This window comes from Homo sapiens, chromosome 3 (genome assembly GCF_000001405.40).
Source record: "Homo sapiens chromosome 3, GRCh38.p14 Primary Assembly".
NCBI lineage: Eukaryota > Metazoa > Chordata > Mammalia > Primates > Hominidae > Homo > Homo sapiens.
Window position 1 is genome coordinate 175,427,689 of NC_000003.12, and position 27,683 is coordinate 175,455,371.

Here is a 27,683-nt window from a genome sequence, read left to right on the forward strand (position 1 = left end):
TCTTGTTTTCTAGACTAGATGACTGACACTTCATTGGCCTTTTCCAATAGGCATATTTTTAAAATTTGCATATTTTTATACTTCTCCTCTAAGGTAGGAATACAATAAAGTAATTCAATTTACTTTCATCCATACCCAAATGTTGCTTAAGGTTCTTCATGCTGCTGGAATCATACCCTTGTAACATATTATTTAAATTCTTGTGGATTGGAAGTTGTAGAAACGTTGACATATAATGCCTGTTTCTTTTGCATATTAACTGTTCATCTGTGTTAATACAGAACATTTCTTTTTTAATGTAATCTTCACCTTTTTTTGAAACCATGTACTCAATTAAGAACATAAATGGCACTAATCTAAATCATAAAGATCACTGTTTCATCTTTACAGCTGTGTCATCATTCCCCAGATTTAGATATTGATCATTTCTAGCAACCCCCAAATGTTCAAACTTGTTTTTGTATCTTATATTTATAAAAAAACTACCTGAGTACTTGATGGCATACAGCTTGACTTCTGTACCTTGACTTCTGTACAGTAGTGTTCACTACTGTACCTTTAACAGATAGCTAGAAAATGGGAAGTACTCAATAAGTTTTTTTGAAGAAAACGAAACTCCTTTGGTACATAATGCTGAAATGAAGGAATTGTTTACTGACTGTAATATATTTCTCAAAGATTTCAGACTTCATTCCACTTTATAACAAAATAGTCACCGAATCACCTACTCCTGTTTGTTGTCCAGCAGACAGGACATTTTTTCAGCTTAGGTGAGAAATCTGAGTGGCTAGTTGGAGGATGAGGTTGAGAAGTTCAGCCCAGGGTGACCTAAGCATGTGGAGTGTGTGGAGAATTTTCCTGGCACTCTCAATCTAGAAGTTTACTAGACTCCTGCTTCTGTCTCAATTCCTGCATCTTTTCAATCTGTCTTCTTCATTCTGGCTCCTAAGTCTCAATTCTTTCCATTTTTTTCTATCTCACTTGTCTCCACCATGAGCAAAGCCAACTTTAATTCTCACTGGGACAACTATAGCTGCCTCCTAACTCATCTCATTGCATCCTCTTTTAAAGCTTCCAATCCATTCTCTGATATATCATAAACAAGCTTTCAAAACCCTAAATCTGATCATGCCATCTGTGTAAAACTTGTAGTGTTTGCTCTTGTTGATTTTTAAGATTATATAAATGATAGCACACTATGTATATCTATTTTTATCTGGCTTGTTCCTTACTCAGCATGTTTTAGAACCTAACAGTTTTGATTGCTTGTGGTTACATATTAAAATACAGAGTATGAAGTAAAAGGGCTTAAGAAACCAAATGAATGATATTGGTTTTTTCTGGAGAGGGATGGAGGGAGGGCAGTAGTTCTGCAGGGAGTAAACAAGACTCTAACTTTATCTGTATTGTGTTGTTTTAGAATAAAAGTATATATTAAAATGTTAACATAAATTCTGTTAATTCTGGACTATAGTAATATATATATGTACACACACACACACACACACACACACACACACACATATATATACATATTCCTTCTTTATGCATTTCTGTATTTTTTTAATTTCTCAATTTTTCAGATACGCCCTGGGGAGAGCAGGAAAACCTAACTGATTACCTTGCTCTTAAAGACAAGATATGTTTCATGCTATAAATGCTGTATATGAATTCTTTGACTTTCTTTTGCACCACTCCAGTCATATGACCTCTTTTGTTTCCTCTGGTACACTATACTGTTTCTTAATTCAAGGCCTTTACATATGTAGTTTCCTTTGCTTAGAAGGTTTCTGGAGGATAGGAATATGTGTCCTATCCTATAGTGCTAACGAGAGGAAAAATCAGGTGCAGCCACTTTTGAGTACAATTCATTGGCATATATAAAAATTTAAAATTTGCATATTTTCTGACCCCAAATCCATTTTTCCATAGCAGCCTTATGGAAACCTTCGCACATATGCAAGTTGATGTACATGCAACAAAATTCATGGAGGTTTTTATTACAATAGCAAAATTTAGATTCGTCTAAGTATATTAGAATACTATTAGAATTATGGAATACTATGCAACATCCACAAAGAATAATAAAAGAATAACATCTGCAAACTTAAATAAAGAGGTCTTTAAGCCTTCCTTACAGAGTGAAAAAGAAATGTCACAGGGTAATATGTATGAAAATATTTAAGTAAAAGAAAGTATAATAATAACATTATACAATTATTTTAAATTTTTCTATGCATTAAAATAATATGAAATTTAGGAGACACTATATTGGTGAGAGTGCCTCTTGGTAGTACAGGGAAACAAAATGTGGGGCATGGCCAAAATGGTCTTTAGCTTAACTTCAATGTTCTTGTTTTTATAATAAGAACAGCTTTATGTATTTTACTTAGATAATTAAAAATTAATAAAATTCCCTGCCATCCTCCAAAGAGAAACAGTGATTATTATTCTGTGGATCCTTTCATCTTTAATATTCTGATTTTATATTCTTTGGCCGTTAAATTATGCATTGAGAACTACCATTCTAAATTCTACCATTTTATAGTAATTAACCTGCATATTTTATAAAAATTATAAAGTTCTTCTTTAAGTTATATACGCATATGTGTATACATACATATACATATATACATGATTGTTAACCTATATATGTGTGTTAATTTGGAAACTTGAAAGCAATGAAGATTTAAAGATTCTCTATGGCATTATTTTGAAATATACCCTAATTGTAAGTATTCAGTACACAACTTTGGGATTCCAATCTTATTATTAAAGGGAATATTTCATCTTTTTGTTGGCATTTTCTTTCATATTATTAACTAAATTATATAACTCTAGTTTGTCTTCCAGCTAAAATCAGTAGGATGGGCTGATGTTATCTTCATATTTACATCTTACTTACATCTCTGTTATCCAGAGGCAGATTCACTGAATAAGTCTAACTTTGTGTCTCTACACGTTATTATTTCTTCTCTCAGTTTTTCCTGCCTCAATAAATTGCTAAATATCTGAGAGTAGCACAGAAGTCTATCTATAAATGTTTATTCTCACACTATATCTAAAAAGTCTGGACATTGTTTATTGATAACTATAATGCAGATTTAGACTATTGAGTCTTTATATAATGCTATGTCATTAGTTTGACATTAGTTAATGTTTTATAATTTCCTGTTGCTTATGGATAACCACTTAATTTTAATATCAGCCTTAGATCAGTATATAGGTGATATAGGTATAATGCTGAATCTTTTAAATCTAGCATCTCATTGATATTTTTATTGAAACTTGAGATAATTTTGAAATCTTTGAAAAGTTCAAATAAGTCCTGAATGCCTTCAGAAAATAGTTGATGTCTTTTGTACTGAAAAATGGATTCAACTTTAACAGCACACTTTCTAAAAATAGCCATCTTGCTTTCATATGATTAATATTTTCTTCGAAGCAACCTTGCAAATGTGTCACTTCTTTTGTTTCATTTCACGGCAAACATACTGTGAGAAAGTGAGCAAAGCCTGTCCTATGATCTGTTTGATTTGTGTATCTCTGTACACTTCACGAGTTGGGCATACTGCAGAAATGTCAATTTTCTTTCCTCATGGGAACCTCAAAAGAATTAAAAAAGCAGTAGCAGGACAATATGCAGTATCAGAAGGAGCAATAGAGATTTTTTGTTTGTTTGTTTGTTTGTTTGTTTAGTTCTATTGGACAGTTTATGGATAGTATTTGTCACTGGCGTAATGTGACTCATTTATATTGTACCTATTCTTCTGTGGAGCTAAAGGCACTTTATAAGCATTCTCATTCATCCTCAAGCTTTGCTATGAGCTAAGTATTAGGCAGCTTTTATTCTCACTTTATGGCCTGGGAAACTCCAGTTTAAGGAATGTCGGCGTGCAGGCATTTGCAAAGCGTTCCAAAAACAGCCAATGGGATTCACAGTAACGTGTGGACTATGACCAAGCAGTGAAAGTCAAAAGTTCTTTGTATGCAGAAGTGTTCTGTGTGAACAGGTCAGGATATTTTACTTTATTTATAGGCTTTATAGTAATACTTGTCTGATGAAGCCAAATACTAAATATAATTATTTAAAATATTCTGACTCTTCTTTCCCTTCAGGCAAGTCTTCCTACTGAATCCGTGTGATTAATAGGACTTTTATTCTTATACTCATCCAGGACTGAAACCTTAATTGCCTTCTCTCTTAATTACCTCATTGCCACTACTCTGTTCAGTGGGTTGCCAAGTTGTGACCATTCTCCTTTCCCAGACTTTTCACATGGATCTTTACCTTTCTGTGTCGAGACATCCTAATTCATGCAGCTATTACTTCTTGTTGAGAAAAAAAAATAGCTTTTAACAGTAATGACATCAGAATTTTAATTTTGAAAGCTAAAAGAAGTAGACTCTGATCTCACCTGCATAGCTTACCAGCCATATGACTCTTAGCATTACATTATTTCTGAGCTTTAGAGTTATTTCTATCACAAGAAGATAACAATAACTAGTTTGAAAAGTTGGACCCTCATATATAAAGTGTAAAAATGGAATGAGACAATATATGCCAAGTATCAAGCTCTGCACCTGGTACAAATGGGATCTATTTTTACTGTTTTCCTTGTGAATACAATACATTGTGAAACAGAATTTTTCCAGTTCTCTTCCTTCTGCATATCATTCTCAAATCAAAACTTCTAAAATCCCCTTTGATGGTACTAATTATCTTCTTAAAACTCCATAAAAATCTCCCAGTACTTACTCAGTTTTCTTAATTTAATATATAAAACCCACCATAATAAAGACTCTATAATTTTAGTCTTAATCAACACCATATGTAGTCATCTCCGGTTAACCTTGGCTCCTTGCCATTCCCTTTTCACAGCCTTATTTTCCTCCCACAGCTCATTTAATCATGTTGATTCTTTTGCCTGGAATCAGCTCCCCTACAGTCATTTTCTGTAGAGTTCGAAACATATATGGAAAAACCCTGTCAAAGCCAGGCTCATTCTATGCCAGATGTAGCTAATGAGAAGAGTTCTATTAATTGTTTTTTAGGGCTCTAGCCACTACTTTAAAAGCACTTCTTATTTTCCCATGAAGAGACAAAAATCTTGCTCAATGGAGCCGGACTTTGACATGCTGACCACTCAGCATTCATGGGAATGTGTTCTGATAGCTATTCATCAGCAACTTACTTTTATTGTTTCCTCTGACTGTATCACTGCTCTTTACAGGTACCTGTTCTCTTTCATCTGGTGTTCCCAGTCTCTTCAGGCCTGCTGAAGCATCTTTGCTGGTTCATTTCACATTTCCTGGTCCAAGACCTGGGATTTTCCGGCTACTTTATCTCTTTCATTCATTAAATAGTTGCAGTCATGAAGCTGTATGTTTGCATTTTCCAGTCGTCTCCCAGCTCTTCTGGTTTGCTCCCTGTTTCCATCCCAAGCCACAAATATACAATCAAATAGAGCTGCCAGACAGGAACCTGTTCTTGCTCTGGAATAACTTCTTGGACTCTTTTTCTTTTCCAGTAACATCCCACTCATTTCCTACCTCATCTAAGAAACATTCACAGTGTTGACTAAGAATGACACAAAACATTCTTTAAATGTAGCACTGGCGTAATATAACATCATTGGGTTGTGAAGAAGATTAAATGAAGGAGCTGAAAAAGAACATTTTGAGCAATGTGAATAATCTAGACTTTTGTTCAAGCTCCATTATCATGGAAATGCTTTTAAAAGATGACTGTGCATAGGGCTATTTGAAGTCCTGCACACGGGAACTAACAAAGATACCATTCCTATCCCTTAAGAACACCCTAGCTTATTAACAGGACCATTAGCGCTATACTAAGCACAGCCATGTCTCTAACTGTGCCACTATGGCCTTCGCTGTGACTTCAAAGAAAACTCATTACTAAGTAAAATAACCTTTTGATACACTGAAAAATATTACCTTATAAGAAAGTAGGCAAAGCATTACCTTAGACTTTTATCCCTAGCCTTTTTTTTTCTCTTTTGGATGTGAATTTGGGTTCCATTTCATAAAGTACTTCGAAGAAATGTACATCCAAAACAACTTACCAAATTACATTCACCACATTATAGAACTTTTATGTAAGAAAATTCTCATATATATAAATTCAGAGGAAGAATTAATAGAATATTTCTGACTGGAGTTCTCTGTAGAGACACTTTTCAATGATGAAATGATGAATCTGTGTCTCATTAACCAAGGGAATTTTTCCCATGGCAAGTGTTTTAGAATACCAATATTTTTTCTTCCAAGTGTATCTTCTCTCACTATATACCATCACTACAGCAAGAAACGAGTGGTAATCAGGTCACAGTTCTACATGTGACTAAGAGCAAAAATTAATTTTAATAATATTGTAAGAAACCAGGAAGGGAATATATTGAAATCTTTTACACTATCCATTTCAAACATGAGGGGCATTTCTGTAATAATAGTAAGACATTCACCTCAAATTTAGATGTATGCATGTAACTACAAAGAGCCTCTTTCAACATGAAAATGGAAAGATTTCTATTAAATTAATGTCAAGAAAATGCTGTATATATGATGCGTTTAAGAACTCAGAAGATGTGGAAAACTATCCCAGAGTCACTTCCTAATTAGAGGTGAAGCAAAGGCCAGATACTGGTCTCCGAACCCCAGGCCAGTCTTCTTTTCTTGTGTCAATATTTCCACGTCAAAAACAGGAAACTGCAAAGATCTGAGAAGTACTTCATATATGCTAGCTCATTTATTCTAGCAACATCTATATCAGGGAAGCAGGGGTTAATTATTTTCCATTTTTATTATCTAAAAAATAAGTAGATCTGGAAATAAAGTACTGAGCTTCTGTCTGTTCATTTAATCAGTCTCATAAAATAATGTGTGCTTATGATCTGGTATGAAGAATTAATGGTTGCATACTTTTATAACAACAACAAGAACAAAACACATTCATAGTTTATTTGCTATCTGTTAAAAATGTAAACTAGTCTTTTTTCAAGGCTAGAAATTTTGCAAATCATTCCAATGTTTATACCCTTCAAGTAAGAGATGGAAAGCTTCTCAGGGGAATGCCTCTGAAGCAGTTTACTTAGCTTATATTACATGTAATGTGCAGATGGCCAATTATTCCAGTTATGAATCTAGACTACTCTCCTCAAAGTAAAGAACAAACTAGATATTTTATCTGTCTCTTAGTTTGTTTTTCTTATGATATAGTTTATGGTTGTTTCCAAATGTTCATGTTTTTAGAATGCTTTAGGGGATAAAATAGTCTTGGAGTAGACAAATGAGGAATACCAAAGAATAGAAATGTTTAGAATTATGTGGAGTAGGGAATTAATTATCATATATACAATTTTTTCTCTGAAATAGATTTAAAAAATATTTATCAGTATCTAAATATTACCACTGCTGCTATAAATCTTAATTTTCACTGAAAATGACAAATTTATTAATATAAACTTAGCAAGATAAAACCCTTTACCAGAGAAAGTCTTGTTTCTTGGGTAGAAAGTTCAGGTTACAAAATGTCTTTAAAGAACACGTTAATGACCATCATCCACTTGAAAATACAGGATTGTTCTTTGTTTCGATGTGACTATATCAATATGTACTAAAGCAATAGAAACCATTTAAAGTAAGTTTGAAAATATATTCTCATAATTCTGTAAATATAATCAATTCAATTATAGGACAGACTAGATTTCAACTAACATATAATTAAGTACCATGCTTATGTCTTGTATAATGGCCAAAATCTAGTTTAACACCTGCTTAACTACACATTAATCAAAACATTTTAACATAATAATAAAAATTATCCTTTAATTGACTGTCAAGTTTAGCACAAACTCCAAAACTGCATAGCCAAAATTTTATACATATTTAAGCATATTTGTTGGAGGGAAGAGAATGATGGTAACTCATATATTATAGTCCTTTGTCCCCAAATAATTGTACCTAACCAATATAAATCTTGAGTTTATATGTCTAAACATAAAAGAAAAATATTTTTAATCATGGGGAAAGTTTTCTAACCTTTTTTGAGCCTGTTTCCTACTGATGATCCGTACCTATGGATAAGCTAATTGGAAAGGAAGACCCAAATTAATATTAACAAAGACTTTACCTGTGTAGTACTTTTTTTTTTTTTTATACTTTAAGTTTTAGGGTACATGTGCACATTGTGCAGGTTAGTTACATATGTATACATGTGCCATGCTGGTGCCCTGCACCCACTAACTCGTCATCTAGCATTAGGTATATCTCCCAATGCTATCCCTCCCCCCTCCCCCCACCCCACCACAGTCCCCAGAGTGTGATATTCCCCTTCCTGTGTCCATGTGATCTCATTGTTCAATTCCCACCTATGAGTGAGAATATGCGGTGTTTGGTTTTTTGATCTTGCGATAGTTTACTGAGAATGATGATTTCCAATTTCATCCATGTCCCTACAAAGGACATGAACTCATCATTTTTTATGGCTGCATAGTATTCCATGGTGTATATGTGCCACATTTTCTTAATCCAGTCTATCATTGTTGGACATTTGGGTTGGTTCCAAGTCTTTGCTATTGTGAATAATGCCGCAATAAACATACGTGTGCATGCGTCTTTATAGCAGCATGATTTATGGTCTTTTGGGTATATACCCACTAATGGGATGGCTGGGTCAAATGGTATTTCTAGTTCTAGATCCCTGAGGAATCGCCACACTGACTTCCACAATGGTTGAACTAGTTTACAGTCCCATCAACAGTGTAAAAGTGTTCCTATTTCTCCACATCCTCTCCAGCACCTGTTGTTTCCTGACTTTTTAATGATTGCCATTCTAACTGGTGTGAGATGGTATCTTATAGTGGTTTTGATTTGCATTTCTCTGATGGCCAGTGATGATGAGCATTTTTTCATGTGTGTTTTGGCTGCATAAATGTCTTCTTTTGAGAAGTGTCTGTTCATGTCCTTCGCCCACTTTTTGATGGGGTTGTTTGTTTTTTCTTGTAAATTTGTTTGAGTTCATTGTAGATTCTGGATATTAGCCCTTTGTCAGATGAGTAGGTTGCGAAAATTTTCTCCCATTTTGTAGGTTGCCTGTTCACTCTGATGGTAGTTTCTTTTGCTGTGCAGAAGCTCTTTAGTTTAATTAGATCCCATTTGTCAATTTTGGCTTTTGTTGCCATTGCTTTTGGTGTTTTGGACATGAAGTCCTTGCCCATGCCTATGTCCTGAATGGTAATGCCTAGGTTTTCTTCTAGGGTTTTTATGGTTTTAGGTCTAACGTTTAAATCTTTAATCCATCTTGAATTGATTTTTGTATAAGGTGTAAGGAAGGGATCCAGTTTCAGCTTCCTACATATGGCTAGCCAGTTTTCCCAGCACCATTTATTAAATAGGGAATCCTTTCCCCATTGCTTGTTTTTCTCAGGTTTGTCAAAGATCAGATAGTTGTAGGTATGTGGCGTTATTTCTGAGTGTATATCTAGAAAACCCCATTGTCTCAGCCCAAAATCTCCTTAAGCTGATAAGCAACTTCAGCAAAGTCTCAGGATACAAAATCAATGTACAAAAATCACAAGCATTCTTATACACCAACAACAGACAAACAGAGAGCCAAATCATGAGTGAACTCCCATTCACAATTGCTTCCAAGAGAATAAAATACCTAGGAATCCAACTTACAAGGGATGTGAAGGACCTCTTCAAGGAGAACTACAAACCACTGCTCAAGGAAATAAAAGAGGATACAAACAAATGGAAGAACATTCCATGCTCATGGGTAGGAAGAATCAATATCGTGAAAATGGCCATACTGCCCAAGGTAATTTACAGATTCAATGCCATCCCCATCAAGCTACCAATGACTTTCTTCACAGAATTGGAAAAAACTACTTTAAAGTTCATATGGAACCAAAAAGGAGCCCGCATTGCCAAGTCAATCCTAAGCCAAAAGAACAAAGCTGGAGGCATCACACTACCTGACTTCAAACTATACTACAAGGCTACAGTAACCAAAACAGCATGGTACTGGTACCAAAACAGAGATATAGATCAATGTGTAGTACTTTTTAAAAAGTAAAATTATACTCTGCATAATCTATATATTCTTTTAGTATCAGAATGCATATTTTGCTTTACAAATGGGAATATTGCTTTCCACTCCCTTTAATGTAAATATAAATATAACTGTTGTTATGACACATTAGTTAAGTATTAAAGCATTATGATATTTACTAGGGAGCATAGCAAGATGTTTTTGCTTAGGGGTGGACCAATGAAATGAGAAGATGTGAACATCTATGTCTTTATTTTTACAATTTCGTGGTTTCAAATTTTATATCGTGAATCATGAATTTTAGGCTTACAATTAGACAAAACAAAACTATTCATTTAAACTTCAGTAATTAATTCATCAGAAAATTGTCACTGATCCCCTTCCTTTTATTCTGAGAATAATGCATAGCACAAAGCATTTTTAAAGTACGTTTCCATTTTAAATAATAATCTAAACAATACTTTGCTGACGTTGACTAGGCTTGATAGAAAATGGTAATATTTATAACAGTGGGCTGTAAGATACTGAAATAATAAAGGATCAGCTGTATTCACAAGGACAACAAAATGACTAACCAATTTAGTGTACTGGTCATTTCAGAAAAATAATTGTAAATTTAGTGAGCTAAAATAAAAATGAAAAAACATTTGTGCCAGTTATTTAATGGTCTGATTTCTGTCAAAGTGGCAGCCCTCTGGAGAAAGTCAAATAAAATATTCCAGGATAACATCACTGGTATCAGTTTGTTCAATTGATGTTTGGGTCATTTTCATAAAAGTGCAGCAGAAAATGTGTTTTAAAATCTCAGTTTTTTTCAGCTCTGATTGTTTGGTTCTCTGGTAAGTCCACAGTATTAATACTTTTAGTTTGTCAGTCTTTTATTATAATAAATTATAATAGTTAAAAACCAAGAAATGAAAAATGTAAGTCAAGTCACTTAGCTATTGTAATATTTAATCATGGCTGAAATAAAGTGTTATAAATGCAATTTTTATCCTTGCACCACCAAGTTTATTTTTGAGTAAAAGACAAAAACAAAACCAAGTGCTCTCTGACCATCTGATTATTCATTTATTTATGTATTTATGTATTTATTTTTATTTTGATAGGTTTTGGGGGAACGGGTGGTGTTTGGTTATATGAATAAGTCCTTTAGTGGTGATTTCTGAGATTTTGGTATACCCATCACCCAAGCAGTGTACATTGTACCCAATGTGTAGTCTTTTATCCCTCACCCCCTCCCATCCTTTCCCTCAAGTCCCCAAAGTCCGCTGTATGATCCTTATGCCTTTGTGTCCTCATAGCTTCGCTACTACTTATGAGTGAGAACAGATGATGTTTGGTTTTCCATTCCTAAGTCACTTAACTTAGAATAATGATCTCCAATTCCATCCCGGTTGCTGCAAATGCCATTATTGTGTTCCTTTCATTGTTGAGTAGTATTCCGTGGTATACACATACCATATTTCCTCATTGATTGATGGGCATTTGGGCTGGTTCCTTATTTTTGCAGTTGTGAATTGTGTGGCTATAAACATGCATGTGCAAGTATTTTTTTTTTTATAATTACTTATTTTCCTCTGGGTGGATACTCAGGAGTGGGGTTGCTGGATAAAATGGTAGATATATTTTTAGTTCTTTAAGGAATCTCCATACTGTTTTCCATAGTGGTTGTACTAGTTTACATTCCCACCAACAGCGTACAAGGGTTCCCTTTTCACCACATCCATGCCAACATCTATTTTTTTTTAATTTTTTGATTATGGCCATTCTTGCAGAAGCCAGGTGGCATCGTATTGTGGTTTTGGTTTGCAGTTCCATTATCATTAGTGATGTTGAGCATTTTTTCATGTTTATTGGCCGTTTGTATATCTTCTTGTGAAAAATGTTTTTTCATATTGTTAGCCTACTTTTTGATGGGATTGTTTGTGTTTTTCTTGTGTTTCTTGTGTTTGTGGTTTTTTTTTCTTTTTTTTCTTTTTTTGATGATTTGTTTGAGTTCCTTGTAGATTCTGGATATTCGTACTTTGTTAGATCTATAGATTGCAAAGATTTTCTCCCACTTGGTGGGTTGTCTGTTCACTCTGCTGATTGTTTCTTTTGCTGTACGGAAGCATTTTAGTTTAATTAAGTTCTATCTATTTATCTTTGTTTTTGTTACATTTGCTTTTGGGTTCTAGGTCATGAAGTCTTTGCCTAAGCCAGTGTCTAGAAGGGTTTTTTCCCAACGTTATCTTCTAGAATTTTTATGGTTTCAGGACTTAGATTTAATTTGGTTCGTCTTGAGTTGATTTTTGTATAAGATGAGAGATGAGAACCCAGTTTTGTTATTCTACATGTGGCTTGCCACTTACCCCAGCACCATTTGTTGAATACGGTGCCCTTCCCCACTTTTCGTTTTTGTTTTCTTTGTTGAAGATCAGTTGACTGTAAGTATTTGGCTTTATTTCTGGGTTCTCTATTCTGTTCCATTGATCTATATGTCTGTCTTAATACCAGTATCATGCTGTTTTGGTGACTATGGCCTTATAGCATAGTTTGAAGTCAGGTAAGGTAATGCCTCCAGATTTGTTCTTTTTGCTCAGTCTTGCTTTGGCTATGCAGGCTCTTTTTGGTTCCATATGAATTTTAGAATTTTTTTTTCTAGTTCTGTTAAGAATGATGGTGGTATTTTGATCGAAATTACATTGAATTTGTAAATTGTTTTTGGCAGTATGATCATTTTCACAATATTGATTCTACCCATCCATGATCATAGGATGTGTTTCCATTTGTTTGTGTCATCGATGATTTCTTTCAGTAGTGTTTTGTAGATTTTCTTGTAGAGGTCTTTCACTTCCTTGGTTAAGTATATTCCTAAGTATTTAATTTGTTTCGCAGCTATTGTAAAGGGGGTTGAGTTCTTGATTCGATTCTCAGCTTGGTTGCTGTTGGTGTATAGCAGGGCTACTGATTTGTGTACATTTATTTTTTAATCCTGAAACTTTGCTGAATTCATTTACCCATTCTATGAGATTTTTGGATGAGTCTTTAGGGTCTCCTACTTATATGATCATGTCATCAGCAAAGGGCGACAGTTGGCTTCCTTTTTAACAGTTTGGATGTCCTTTATTTCTTTCTCTTGTCTGATTGCTCTGGCTAGGACTTCCTCTATGTCCATTTCAAATTTGTTATTTAGAAATAGCTTATAAAGAGACATGTTAATCATTTTGAAGGAGACTGAGAACTGTTGATTTGTGGTTTACTGATATAGTTAATTTGGGGGAGGGTGAGCAAATACAGTTTTTTTTCTTTTCATTTTTCTTTTTATGTATTAGTCATTTTATAAACTATATAAATTACACTATAAAAAATATACCATTGGCTCTCCATATCCAGGTGTTTCACATCCATGGATTCAACTAACTACAGATTGAAAGTATTTGGGGAAAAAAAAATCCCACAAAGTTCCAAAAAGCAAAACTTGAATTTTCTCCGTGATGAGTACTATGTTGAATTCATGTGAATTAAATGATATGTAGGCATTGTATTAGGTATTATAAGTAATTTAGAAATGCTTTAAAGTATATAAGAAAATGTGGATAGGTTATATGAAAATACTAGGCCAGTTTATTTAAGGGACTCGAGCATATGCAGAATTTGGTATCCACAAGGGCTCCCAGAACCGATTGCTGGCAGGTACCAAGGGATGACTACGTAATGATTTACGCCAGTGCTGATCTAATGTGCATACAAATCACCTGGGGATCTTGATAGACTATAGATTCTGATTCAGAAGACCTGGGGTGGGACCTGGGATTCTGCACTCCTAGTAAGTCCTAGTTCATGCAGATGCTGCTTGTCTGAGGACTACACATTGAATAGGAAGGATCTGTACAACATTGAGTGAGTAGCAAGGATCTCATGTTCACACACACACACACACACACACACACACACACACGAGGTGCACAGGGTTGAGTTGTGTATACTCCTAAATTCTGAAGTTGTGTTATTCTTCTCATTCACCATCATCATTAAAACACACCAGGCCCCTCTTTTATTTAACCAGCACATTTTTATCTTATCTAACCTCTCAGTGCTTTCATCTCAGCATGTGAGATTTCTCATCTCTGAAGGTTTATCTTCCCTGATGCTGTTTGGCTAATTGGCACTTGAATACACTGACTTTTCTTTATTTTTATTTTTATTTTTTTGAGATGGAGTCTCGCTCTTTTGCCCAGATTAGAGTGCAGTGGTGCAATCTCAGCTCACTGCAACTTCCGCCTCCCAGATTCAAGCGATTGTCCTGCCTCAGCCTCCTCCTGAGTAGCTGGGACTACAGGCGCATGCCACCATGCCCAGCTAATTTTTGTAATTTCAGTAGAGATGGGGTTTCACCATGTTGGCCAGGCTGTTCTCGATCTCCTGACCTCAGGTGATCCACCCTCCTCGACCTCTCAAAGTGCTTGGATTACAGGTGTGAGCCACCACGCCTGGCCAACACTGACTTTTCAATTAGGTTTAAAAGTATCCCATCTTGTCACACATATAAAGTATATATATATATACTGGTTACTAACAGAGCATATTTTCTTTACACAGCCAACCAGATGAGATTGAAGTGGGCATCAACAGTTTGAAAAAGCGTGAAATAGAATTAAGGATGTACAATTAGAACACAACTTACTTATTTTAATGCTAATTTCTTCTAAATTTCACCCACAGTAACTTTGGCTCTATGGCTCTGAACTAATATACTATTTTTATTTCAATAGTGAAGACACTTTGGTGTCACCTTGGTAGAGATGACAATAGTATCGTAGTGAAATTATTTATTTGTAACATTTCAAACAGTGAGTCAATGATGGAGTCAGGCTTAGGACTTTGTTTATCCAATTTTCTCATTATACTATGCACATGTAGCATTGAATCAGGGATTGAATTATTGACGTAATGGGTCTGTTTGAGTCTTTATCTGGATTACAAAGAGTGCATAACATGAACAGAGAATTAGCTAGCTACTAAAATAAAAGTTGGTCCCCCTCAGTCTTTATGAAGCATAAACAAGGTACAGAGTATGATATAAATGCTGCAAGCTAAAAGTTAAAGTGCTAAAATGTAGTGTCGCAGTCTTTTTTGTATGGTATCCTTTCTTTCGAGGCACATAATCCATTTAATTTTCATCTCATATCTAATGGATTCTTATAGTTCATAAATACGCTTTAAAATATCACTGAATAAAAATAGTACATGTGTTTAGCTTTGTTCAAAACCTCTTAATAATGTAAGAAGATAAAACTCTTCTCTCAGCTCTTCTTCAATAGACATAGGTTTGTTTTAAAAATAACTTCTGTCTATAATTTAATCTTAGTGTCTTGTAAAGTCCTGCTTTTAGTATCTGCTCTCAGAAGTGAACTGTGTGTCAAATTTCCATTAAGCTGAAGGTAAAAAATTAATGAGGCACTTACTTTAGATATTTCAAAACTAATGCAAGTCTATCAGTCATGCAGCACAAAAAAATCAAAGATTTGGGTATGTTCAATTATGGTTTAGGGTTCACTCATATTTAACATTTAAATGCATTGCTTCATAAGCTTAATAGAGCATTCTAGAGAAAAATGGAATGCAGTTATTGATTTTTTATTAACATAAATATATCTTAAAGATGATTTTATTTATTTAAAGACTTTTTATCTACAAAACTTAATTTTAGGGCAAGGATAATCAGCGAATTGATAGGGATAGACGGGTTTTGAAAGTTTATTTAATATGTCTGCTGGGGGAGAGTATTAGTTAGCCAGGGTGAAAGCATAACTATATAGCAAGCATAGAATTATAATTTATTCTTCAATTGTACACCAGCTCAATTTTGGCAGGACTCAGAAAACCATTAAGACATAGGCATTAAGATTATTTTTCAAACAATTGTTGATTCTTTTTTCTACTATTAATTATTGAACTCCCGTTATGTACCTGACAAGGTGCCAGGCATTGTGTATCATACAATGATATAAGTGACTTGGTCCTTGCTTTCAAGAATTTATAGTTCAGAGGGAACAAACAGTGATTTTACATAGTGATAATGTTAACTGAAAATAGCAAGCATTGCAAAAAAAAGGTGCAGATATAGCACACAGAGCTGAGGTTGCCAGAGAAAGCTTCACGTAGAAGATGACTTGTAAGTTGGGCTTTGAAGGAACTGAGTACTTTAGATGCATGTGATGCATGAGAAAAACAAGTGAAGTAAGAGGAATGGCTTAAGCAAAAACATGGGGGACGTGGCTCATGGAGTATGTAAGGGTATAGCTTAAGATTTTGCTTAAGATGTATGAAGAAAACTGATAGGAAGTAATATTGAAGTATAAGGTTTGGGATCATGAAGGGCTTTGAATGGCAAGCTAAAGAGTTTGGTGTTTGAACTGGGGAGAGATACAATCATACAGCATCTTAAGAAGTTTCCGCAATCATGAAAACTTCGAAATGATAGACAGCACATTGTGCATCAATATTATTTCATTATCTCATGCACATTAAAAGCTCCAAAGGTAATGGCTGAGAGAGAAAACACATACTGGGAAAACCAGATGGCTATCCCAGCGTTTGTACAGACATTGTCTATGCTTTGAAACATGAATCAATTTGTCCTCAAGTGCAGCCTGGAGCAGTAGGAGACTTGAGGCTCATCACTTTTGGCTGAGAGCAGCCTCCTATGGTCTGAAAATCCCCTTTGGTTTACCTCAGTAGGTTGTACAACTATTAGCATTCTTCTACATAAATTATGCAGGGCCTGGTACCTTGGCATGCCACCTGTGCAGTCTCACAGAGTCCCCTCTCCAAAGGGCCCCACACTTGATTTAATGCTCTCCTATTGCCATATGGAAATTCTTCATACTTTTTAAACAAGAGGTCCCACATTGTCATTTCACTGTGGGTCCTGCAAATTATATAGCCACTTGTGGTTCCATGAATATGAAAACTGTTGGGAAATAATGACCTACGCTGTGGTCCGAATGCACTGTTATCTATATAAGGGAGCAATGAAATTATGAGGCCAGCACTGCTCTTATATAACAAAATGGATTCTAAGCTTAAATCTTTATTATTTTTTCTTCAAAGCCATGACTTCCACGGCTGCCATAGGCCAAACCAAATATAATATTTTAGCCTTGTGGTCTCCCAGATGATAAATTAAGGAAACACTCGTGTAACATATTTTCTTATTTATAATCTACCTCCTCCTGTAGCCTGGATACCAGTATCATCAAGCTCTGCGCCCTCTGAAGTCCCGTCAATTAAATTCTGAGAAAAACCGTTAGCACTTATTTTCCCTAGTAAAAGTTCTGAAAAATATAGCACTGCATTTGAAAACATCACAGGCTGCCTGATAGAGTCATTCTGTTGGGTATTTCCTTTTCTGAGTCAGTAAAAATATATAAACTGAATAAGTATTCGTTATTTCCTTAAGCATAGTTTGTTCTCTCCATTATCTCTATTCTATTCGTGTACTTTTTTGTACTTGTGTTATTATAACTGTTTTATCTTATTTTTATTTTTTATTTTTTGAAGTTATAGATGCATTTAGTTCATGTAAATAGTCAAATATTTCTACAGGTTTAATTTATAAAAATGTCACCTTCTCCTCCTCTACCCTGTGTCTCTTCTCTCCTCTCTTTTTAACTCCCCAGGGCAAATATGTAATTGTTTTTAACATCTTTAGTAGCTACTTACCTTTTATATTTACCTTCCTTCTGCTCGGTTATGTGTTGGAGTTTGTTTTTCAGTTTTATCCATTATATTGACTTACCACTTTGAGAGATAGAGACTTAACTTTCACAAGTATTCATGTACATCACTGCCTTTTTCCCTTTTCTCCTTTTTCCTAAAAAGGATCATTTTTGTGTTAAATCAACAGTCATTATTTATATTATTATGACTATGTAAATATTATACATATTGTTCAATGATTAAATTTCTTCTTGCACAACTTTTGGTCCCTTTAAGCTAATAATTGTCTCCCTTTATAGATTTCTTATTTTTCTTTATAGCTAGACATTCTTCAAACCCTTACACTCTGATCTTACTGTAAATATTCTCTCAATATGTTAGCACACATCTGGTATTCTCACTAATCTGGTCTTCCTAGAGACCTCCCTCCCCAGCTCTGCTGACCGCCTGCCATCATCCTCACTAGGTCTGCTGCCGAGGGGCCGGCCTAGGGTTGCCCTTGGCTGAGATCTCTTACTTAAGGATAACAAAATTAAGTTGATTTGAAGTTCTGTATATGACTGGGATTTATTGACTGATGAATTTCAATGGAGGATGTTGTGGGTGAGTTGTTTCTTTTATTAATAGACCTGTTTTTGGTATTTTTAGATATTTTCTATTGATCTCATCATATTTGCTAAGAGTGAACCTTCTATTACCCTACCTGGAGAGAAGGTTTCTGTATGCCAAAAGAGAAAACATCTGAGGAGTCCAGGCAATCATGACACCTTTTTTTGGGGGGGGCGGGGGGGACTGTGTCTCACTCTGTCACCCAGGCTGGAGTGCAAGTAGCATGGCCTTGACTCACTGCAACCTCTGCCTCCCGAGTTCAAGCTATTCTCCTGCCTCGGCCTCCTGAGTAGCCAAGATTACAGGCGTGCACCACCATACCCAGCTAATTTTTATACTTTTATTATGCACGGGGTTTCACCTTATTGGCCAGGCTAGTCTTGAAATCCTGACCTCAAGTGATCCTCCCGCCTTGGCCTCCCAAAGTACTGGGATTACAGCCATGAACCACCACACCAGGTCGACACCATCCTCTTTAAAGTGTGATGTTTCTCGCTGTATTTGGTGTCTCCCTGTTCACTCTCTCACTCTCAGTTTTCTGCTGAAGTGAGGAAGGAACAGGCACCCACACTGACTGGGTACATGAGGATTCCAGAGAACAAGCCATTTCACAATCAGAATTTCATCAAATCCTCCTGTTTCTGGTCTCTTTTGCAGCCCTATTTTAATAGGTACCTGGTGTTGACAATTTCTAACCCTTTCTTTGTTCGGTGGTACAAACAGCATTCTCAGCTTCCCTACTAAGAACTTAGGTTTTAGGTTTCCCCCTCAGGTCTTACATCACTGACACTTACATATCTGCTTTCCAACTAGAATCTTATTACTATCTATTCTCCTGGCCCCTGTACCTTTATGCTTTCTCATTCTTTTGTCATCATTTTAGTGGAGTTTTATGGGACAATGGAGGTAAGTGCATATGTGCAATCTGCCATCTTTAACTAGGATATGTCATTATATTTGGACTAAATTTTTATGAGGTATCTCAAATAATGTTAATAAGTAAACAGGGTATAACTAAGGAGTAGATAAACAAGTGAATGAATATAAACTTACCAGTCATAATTTAAATACTTATTACAGATAACTTTTCCTTAAGTGTTTTAAATTTCTGTTTACTAAGGATTATCTTCCTTTGTCTTTTGAATACAGATGAAAGTTTTAGACAAAGCCGATCAAACCTCACCTCTCTATTAGTGCAGCCCATCTCTGCACCCCTCGTTGCAAAACTGATCTCTTCGCCAAAAGCTAGAACCAAAAATGAAGCGTGTAGCTCTCTAGAGCTTCCAAATAATGGTAAAGTATTTAATGTCGTTCTCTGTATTTTACAGTTTTTTTAAAGACCATGATCATTTTTAATCTCCTAAATTGATGTATGTAGGATTATTCTTTTCAAAAACATTGACTTTTGATGAAGTGAGCATTATTTTCTTCTGTGGCTCTTTAGCAGCATGTTTGGAAAGTAATTTTGATAGAGACTGAGAGTTGACCAAAATGAGAGATTAGAAAAAGAAACCATTTTGAACTGCTACAAAGAAAAGTAGCTTTATAAATAAAGCATTTTTGTACATTCATGAAAATCTGCTTAACATAGCTTCCCGGTTTCAGCTTCAGCAGTCTCATTGCCTGCCAAGATTCAGTGGATAGCAGGCAACTATCTGGGGTATGAAGTCTTTTAGTATAAAGCATTAAAGCCTAATTCCTGCAATTGACTAAAAAATCCCTCTGTCTATGCGCATCATCGCCCGAGAGATGCTTCTTGTACTGCAGTGCCGTTTGTCAGGCCTTGTTGGACCACGTAGGATGAAACTGAAGTAGTTAAGCTACCTGTGGAGGGATGAAAGCCTTGGGCTGCATCTTGTTCCTGCCTCCAGCCTCAGCATTAGGGTTCTAAAGAAAAGCCTCTCTTTACAATTTGTTAAATTTGTATCTATTTGCTAGGAACTACACCTTGTGGGCTCTTTTTTGTGTCCAGACCTCTGGGTTCAATAGTCATGTTTTATCTCAACTGTTTTTCTCTTGACAACAAAAGCATACAAAAAAGAAAATATGTTGAAGAAATATGTACAAAAAAATCTGAATACATTAAGGATTTCTCTGTTAGGGACATATGCTTTTCAAAATCCTGTAGATTGAGAGCCTCTAAACTGATTACCAATTAAACAAGGTGGGAAAATTAGAAAACAGTAATAAGCCAATGTCCTCAAAGCAGGAGTGCAGAAGCACTCGAGGAGCTTTCTGTTTTGTTTTGTTTTGTTTCTGCCATTTATTCTGAGCCCAACAAATTGATTATGGGCTCTGTTTGTTAAAATATGTAATGTAAAATATGTAAACCAAAATAATAGTGTAGTTGTAAGAGGCACTGGACTTGTAAAAGACCATATTTAAGCCCAGATTTAAATAATTAATTAATTCAATACAGAGCCCCCAATACATTCCAGCCACTGTCCTGCCCTCAAGGAGCTGACAGTCTCTGTGCTAGCTCCATGCCCTCCCCTATGTCACCTCCCACTGGAAGCCTCTATGTCTGCAGCTACAAAAAATAGCTACAACTTTATCATCTTAAATAGTTGTGAGAATCAAAGTATGATATGTGTATCAATTCTTTTTTAAAATTTTTTTGTGTTATATGTTATGTTATATATTTTTTGAGACAAAGTCTTGCTCTGTCATCAGGGCTAGAGTGCAAGTGGCTTAATCATAGCTCACTGCAGCCTCAAACTCCTAAGCTGAAGCAATTCTCCTACCTCAGCCTCCCAAGTAGCTAGGACTACAGGTGTGTGCCACCACACTAGACTAATTTAAAAAGTATATATTTTTGTAGCCACAGGGTCTCGCTAAGTTGCCCAGGCTGGTCTTGAGCTCCCTAGATCAAGTGGTCCTCCTGCCTCAGCCTCCCAAAGTGCTAGGATTATAAGTATGAGCCACCATAACTGGATTAATTTTTTTGTATGTTGTAAAATGTTATGTAACTATTAAGAAGTATCTTTGTTATCAAATAACTACTTTTTTAAAAAAATGCAGACATGTCTTACTCTATTGCCCAGGCTGGAGTGCAGTGGCATGGTCATGGTTCACTGCAGCCTCAAACCCCTGGGCTCAAGTGATCCTCTTGCTTCAGCCTTCCGAGTAGCTAGGGCTACAGGCACATGACACTACACCCAGCTAACTTTTAAATCTTGTTGTAGAGACAGGATCTTACTATGTTGCCAGGGCTAGTCTCAAATTCCTGGGCTCAAGCAATCCTCCTGCTTGTCTCCTAAAGTGCTGGGATTATAGGCATGAGCCATTGTGCCTGGCCTAACATTAATTTTCTTCTTTTTTTTTTTTTTTTTTTGAGACAGAGTCTCGCTCTGTCTCCCAGACTGCAGTGCAGTGGCACAGTCTCGGCTCACTGCAAGCTCCGCCTCCCGGGTTCACACCATTCTCGCCTCAGCCTCCCAAGTAGCTGGGACTACAGGTGCCCGCCACCAAGCCCGGCTAATTTTTTGTATTTTCAGTAGAGACGGGGTCTCACCATGTTAACCAGGATGGTCTCGATTTCCTGACCTCGTGATCCGCCCACCTCGGCCTCCCAAAGTGCTGGGATTACAGGCATGAGCCACCACGCCCAGCCTTAATTTTCTTCTTAATATGCAGAATAATGTCCTTGCAAAGCAAGATGACACTCTCCAGCTGCATTTCCATAATAAATTAACAACAGGCATGAAGCCTACAAGAAGAGTTGAGATATACACCCATGTTAAAGCAAGAAAGATAGGCCTACTTTCTAAGGGATTATGACATATGAAATTGTTCTCATGGATATTGTTATGTTTTTAGAAAAATTGTTATGTTTTTTAAAATTCAAAAAGATATATTTAAATCATTGAGAAGACCTTTCATGTTATAATGAGTTATTTATTTTTTAAAATACAGAATATACATTTAAATTTTCCAAATACTGATTGAACAGTCTCACTGAGTCTGGTAAATCAGTATTGGAAAATCTAAATATATAATTCTATGTTAACATATAATCCTACATTGAACTGAATTTAATGTAGGATTATAACCCCTTACCCTAATGTTTTGGACAATAATGCTCATAGTTTTTCTGAGATAATTAAGTTTCCTCATAGATACTATAAAATGCATTAATTATTCACAGTGATGTATATCAGGATGAAACATGAAAAGGATACTGAATGAGGTACTATAATTTTAAGCAATAACAGCAATGCTTATTATTTAAGGATAAAAGAAATAATTTAAAACATATTATAATTATAACATATTGTTAAATTTTCTAAGTATAGCCCTGATCTTTAGTGTCAGAAAATCTTCACTCAACAAGTTGGAAATGGGCACATTAAGAATATGTGTGAGAATCCACTAATTATTTATCTTACCCATTTAACCCTTTATGCACACTAAATCAAAATTCTCTAAAATCCAGGCAAAAATGTAATAGAATTTTTCTACTACCAAATCAAGGACTACATTTAACACCTCTAGTGTTAAAGTGAGTCATTGTTCAAATTTCAGAAATTGAGTCTTGGTCCTGTTTGTCCAGACTTGGATTATCCTTGAACCAATCATCATAATATAGTTGATGTAGTCTGTCAATAGGCTTGAGTCAACCAGAATCTATTTCTAGGGATATTGCCAAAGCTACTCATAAAATGTTGATGGGAAATGCTGGCAACAGTTCAGAAAGGGAAATTGGCAAATGGATGTTGAGAAAGCAAGTGTAGTTCAAGGATGGTACAAGTCTGGCCAAGACTCAGTTTACAAACTTTAAGTAATGACTTGCTTCATCATTAAAAGTGAACAAGAAACCATGTAGCTCTGGGATCTTTCTCTAGCCATCTTAAGACCATGGGAATGCATCCTACCTGAAAATAAAGTCAACATAGGAAGGGGTCAGATGAGTAAAGGGGAGAGAAAGATAGAAATAGATATAGAGAGAAGGTGTGGGGAAAGACGGAGAAAGAGAGAGAGAAAAAGAAACCCTTATTTATATGATTAGAGCCCTAAATAAAGCCTTGTCTGAAGCCAAATCTATTGAACTTTTCGTATATATGAGTCAATACATTACTCCTTTGTTTCAGCCTATTTATATTTGGTTTTTGGTTACTTGCAACTAAAAGCTATCTAACTGATACAAATCATAACACTTAAACTAAACAAAAGAATTAAATGCCTTCATGCATGAGATAGGCTCAGCAAATTGAAGTGGACAGCTGGGCATTTGTATCGCTGCGAGAACTAAAAAAAAAAGTATAAGGAATGGAAAAAGAATCATGAAAAAAGTTCCTCCTTAAATAGATTGTTTGCATTGATTAGATAATTGGATACTGACTCCATTTCATTTTGAATGGTCTTTTTCTTTGTAGACCTGACCCATTCATTCAACGTATTGTCAATATTTGTCTTTGAAGTTCAGTCAAAACATGGAAAGCTTAATTTTCACATATCAATCTGAGCTTGTGGTTAAAATTCATGACTATAATAATTAAAAGGGAAGAAGAAATTTTAAAATCCATTAATGTAATTTAGCGTGAAAAATATAAATGAATCAAGTTAAAAATAAACATTTTAAGATATTTGATGATTCACTTATTTTGAAAAAATAATTGTTTACATGTTGCTTAAAACTTATCAGTGATGACAAAATTTTACATAAATAAATTTGGGTGATGTCTCTTCAAATGGATATTCAAGTGCTATTATTTCCTTATTTCCTATTATTTCCTTATTTACAATTCTATATTTTTATGAAAATTACTTTTATTATTAAAATGACATAGTGTCTAACCGATCATCTTGTTTATAATTTTTACGTATTTCTAATGCATTTTGAAAATCTATCTTCCTAATCTGTTAGTAGTTACTTGAAACAATGCATTACTAGCATTTCTTGAGTACAAATTTAAAAGCATGTATTGAACATATTATCTACAAGTTGTAGTTACACAAATATTTATTGGCAAATGGTGCCTTTTAGCTTTTCAAGAAATTTCTATTAAAAGGAAATGTTAGTACAATTGAATGCAACATTGTGTATTCTTACATATGAAACTAATCAATGTGTTCAGAGCAGCTTCAGAATTGCTCCATGTGAGAAGATCCAGTACATTATGCTATTCTCATTAAAGAATGTCTTCAGATTCTCTCTCTCTCTCTCTCTTGCTATGTCTTTCTCTCCCTCTATCCACCTACCTATCAATTTATCTTGGTAGACAATGGAGTAGTATGATCTTATATGACATAGCTTCCTTTAAGTTCCAACATAACAAATGACAAACCTTTTTGGCCATAACAAAACTAAGTATTTTTTAGTAGGCCTTAAAAGAAAAAAAAGAAAGGGAAAACTAAAAACTTGTTTTTGAGCAGAGTGGGCTTTAATAATATTGATTAGGCTTTTCCAATCAACATGGAGGAAAATATTCAAAAGAAATGGGGAAAATTTTAATTTGTGCAGATAGCTTCCATATAGCATGCATATAGATATGATGGCTGTTCTTTATCTGAATAATTCAGGGAGCTAGAACTCTTTACGAAGAACTGATATGTGTGGAGACAAATGCCAGATCAACTGTCTTCAAGCAGTCAGTTACATAGTGAACCTAGGAGTCTGAGGTAGGAGCTGATAACGGAGTATTCCGTAGAACTAAAGATCAACATTCATGAGCTGCCAGTCGGAAGTCCTTGGACAAAAGGAAAAAGAGCTTCAGAATTCACTTTGAAGGACTGTTCATCAGGGATCTTAAATGGAGTGAGCGTAGGGGGGAACCTATTGTCCAAAGTCCACAGAAAGTAGAGTCAATTCTCTGTTTCCTGGGGAGTGCAGGCTGGGCTTACCAAAGGTGACGCAGATCTGACATTCACCCAGAACTTCTCAAGTTTCCAGGATTCTGTCTCAACAGTTTTGATTTTAGAAATGATTCAGCTGGGGTACAGTCTAGAGTTTTTGTTTGTTTGCTAAAAGACTTAAAGACAACCTGAGATGTACACTTGGAAGCAAAATTACTTTAAAAAGTGTTTTCTACTTTTTCAATATTTCTCAACGATTTTACAGCTTCTTATTTTCTTAGCATATCATTTTTCAAATACCTGTCACTTTTTACAAATTATAGAAATTCCAACTAAACTTTGGAGTTTATATGTGTGATAAAATCCATTAGCGTACACCCTATCTTTATATTTTTATGTTATGGACCAACACTGTCATTTACTAAACAAAAACTTGCACGGATTCCTCACTGCCTTTGTGTTTCTATATTCTGCTATTCCTTGCAAGTATCCAATATTTCTCCTTATTATTCTGTTCAGTATTATCCAAATATGTCTTGCATGTCTGTGTCTCTAAGTTGTAAAGGCCCATTACCCTCTAAATTCTTAAGGTTCAGTGCAAGTGTTATATTCTCCACCAAAAGCTCTTTAGAGTTTCATTCAAGTTGGACGTAGCCTCTCTTTATGACTCTGTCATGCATTTGGCACTTGTGTGCTATTTGGCATTATGATATGATATTCTTCCGAGAATATCATAAGCAGAGCATAAGCAACTGAATTTTCATTAGAATATGTTGTTTCCTCTTCATAATTGAATTATTTGTGGTTTTCTTTATGGTTCAGGGTATCATCAGTGTTCTATGAGTATTTGAAATGAATGTACGCTGTGTAATTGTCTATTCTATACATGCCACTTAGACTAAGTTCCTTAATCAGGTTGTTCAAATATTCTGTATATTATTCATGTTAAAATCTCCTACTGTGAATATAAATTTGTCCATTTTCCCTTGTAGTTAGTCAATTTTCACTTTATATGTTTTGAGATTATTTCTTCGGTGTTTATACATTCAAATATATCATACCTTCCGGAATAGCTGAACCACTTATCACATGAAGTGACATTCCTTATGTGTAGTAATTCTTGTTTTGAGTATTAATTTTGGAGCACTGTTTGTATTGGTATCTTTATGCTACGTATTTTTTGCTTTCAACCTTCCTGTATCTTCCCTTTATATATGTCTCATTAATAGCAAATAATTTCCAATTTAAATGCAATCTGATAGTCTTTTAATAGGAGCATTTGGTCCCTTTCATTTAATGTGATTAATATGTACTTAGGCTTATAGTTTTCATCTTAATTAGGGTTTCTTCTTTGAATCACATATTGTTTTCCTTGAGGTTTATTTTTTCTTTAGATTTAGATGTTTGCCATTAAATTTTTCTCTCTACTATTTAGAAGTTATAAATACATTTTGTATTCTTTTATAATTAATCTAAGAAATTACAACTTCTTAGAGATGCCATGCCCCTGCTCTGCTTAATGTCAGGTAACTTTCTTTGCAGTCTCTTGGGAGGGAGGGGGAAGTTCAGAACTTTAGGGTTCCTACTTTATAGAGGAAGAATCTTTTTTTAGAACCACCTTCTTCATCCCAGTTTTGGTAAGCCCAGGACTTTGTCTTCTGACCTTTGCATCTCACGAGGCCATCAGTATTAAAGGGTTCTCTTTGTTTACCAAATTCCCTTAGGTTGAAGATAGCCTCGTAGTTTTATTTACCTGGGTTCCCATCACAACTTAAATTTTGACCTAGTAAGTTCTTAATTTCTTGCTAATTCTTAGATGCTGTTAACAAGATTTGTTTTGTATTTTATTTGGCATTATAAGTTATTATCAGTGAGTGGATTAATCTGATATCCTAGCCCACCATATTTTTAGTAAGCAAAATCTTCTCTTCCTTTCCATCCATTTATTTCCTGGCAGCAAATATGGACTTGGAAAATTGTGTAGATTGATTGGCATATAAATCAGGTTTGCATCAAGAAAAAAAGAATACACTAAAAAATGTGCAATTTAAGAGAATTTAATCAAGTGCTTATGCACATGGTGTGGACAGGTAGAGCAAAACAGAAAAGGGATACCATTGCTACTGCCTCTAAACCAGGTCTAGTAATTGCTACTACTGTAAACCTGAAAGGGCAAGAAGAGAGAGCAGTTGTAGGACCGGGCAAGTACTTTAGCTGTAAGAGAAGAGCTGTGGCTTTTAGTCAAGCAGAGTTGTCACTGCATAAAGTGGACAGCCAGGGAGGGTACTGGAAAATAAATACTCCAGTCTTTCCCTTAACCCAACCTGCTGGCCTCTTGTTGATGCCTTCAATTGGGTAAACTAAACCCGAAGCCAAAGAATAAAAGAACCAGGTAGATGTAGTTCTTAGAGGTACTTCTCCTGGGGTAAGGTTAATGGAGGGTAGCAAATAGATGTGAATGAACAAATAGAAAATATGCAGCAAAGATAGTGCTTCA

At 35.2% G+C, this 27,683-nt stretch overlaps 1 protein-coding gene across 23 annotated transcripts in view; it reads left to right on the forward strand.

Moving 5' to 3' along the window:
• The window catches only part of NAALADL2 (N-acetylated alpha-linked acidic dipeptidase like 2), a 1,369,567-nt gene that overhangs the window by 986,707 nt on the left and 355,177 nt on the right, over positions 1-27,683 (forward strand). For 20 of the 23 annotated variants that reach the window (XM_017006077.3, XM_047447876.1, XM_017006075.3 and 17 more), the window contains one exon: positions 19,541-19,684. The exons of the other annotated variants lie outside the window; for them this stretch is intronic. In XM_017006077.3, coding sequence (XP_016861566.1) covers positions 19,541-19,684 — 144 coding nt within the window. The remainder of the gene's footprint in view (positions 1-19,540; positions 19,685-27,683) is intronic. 23 annotated transcript variants of the gene reach the window in all.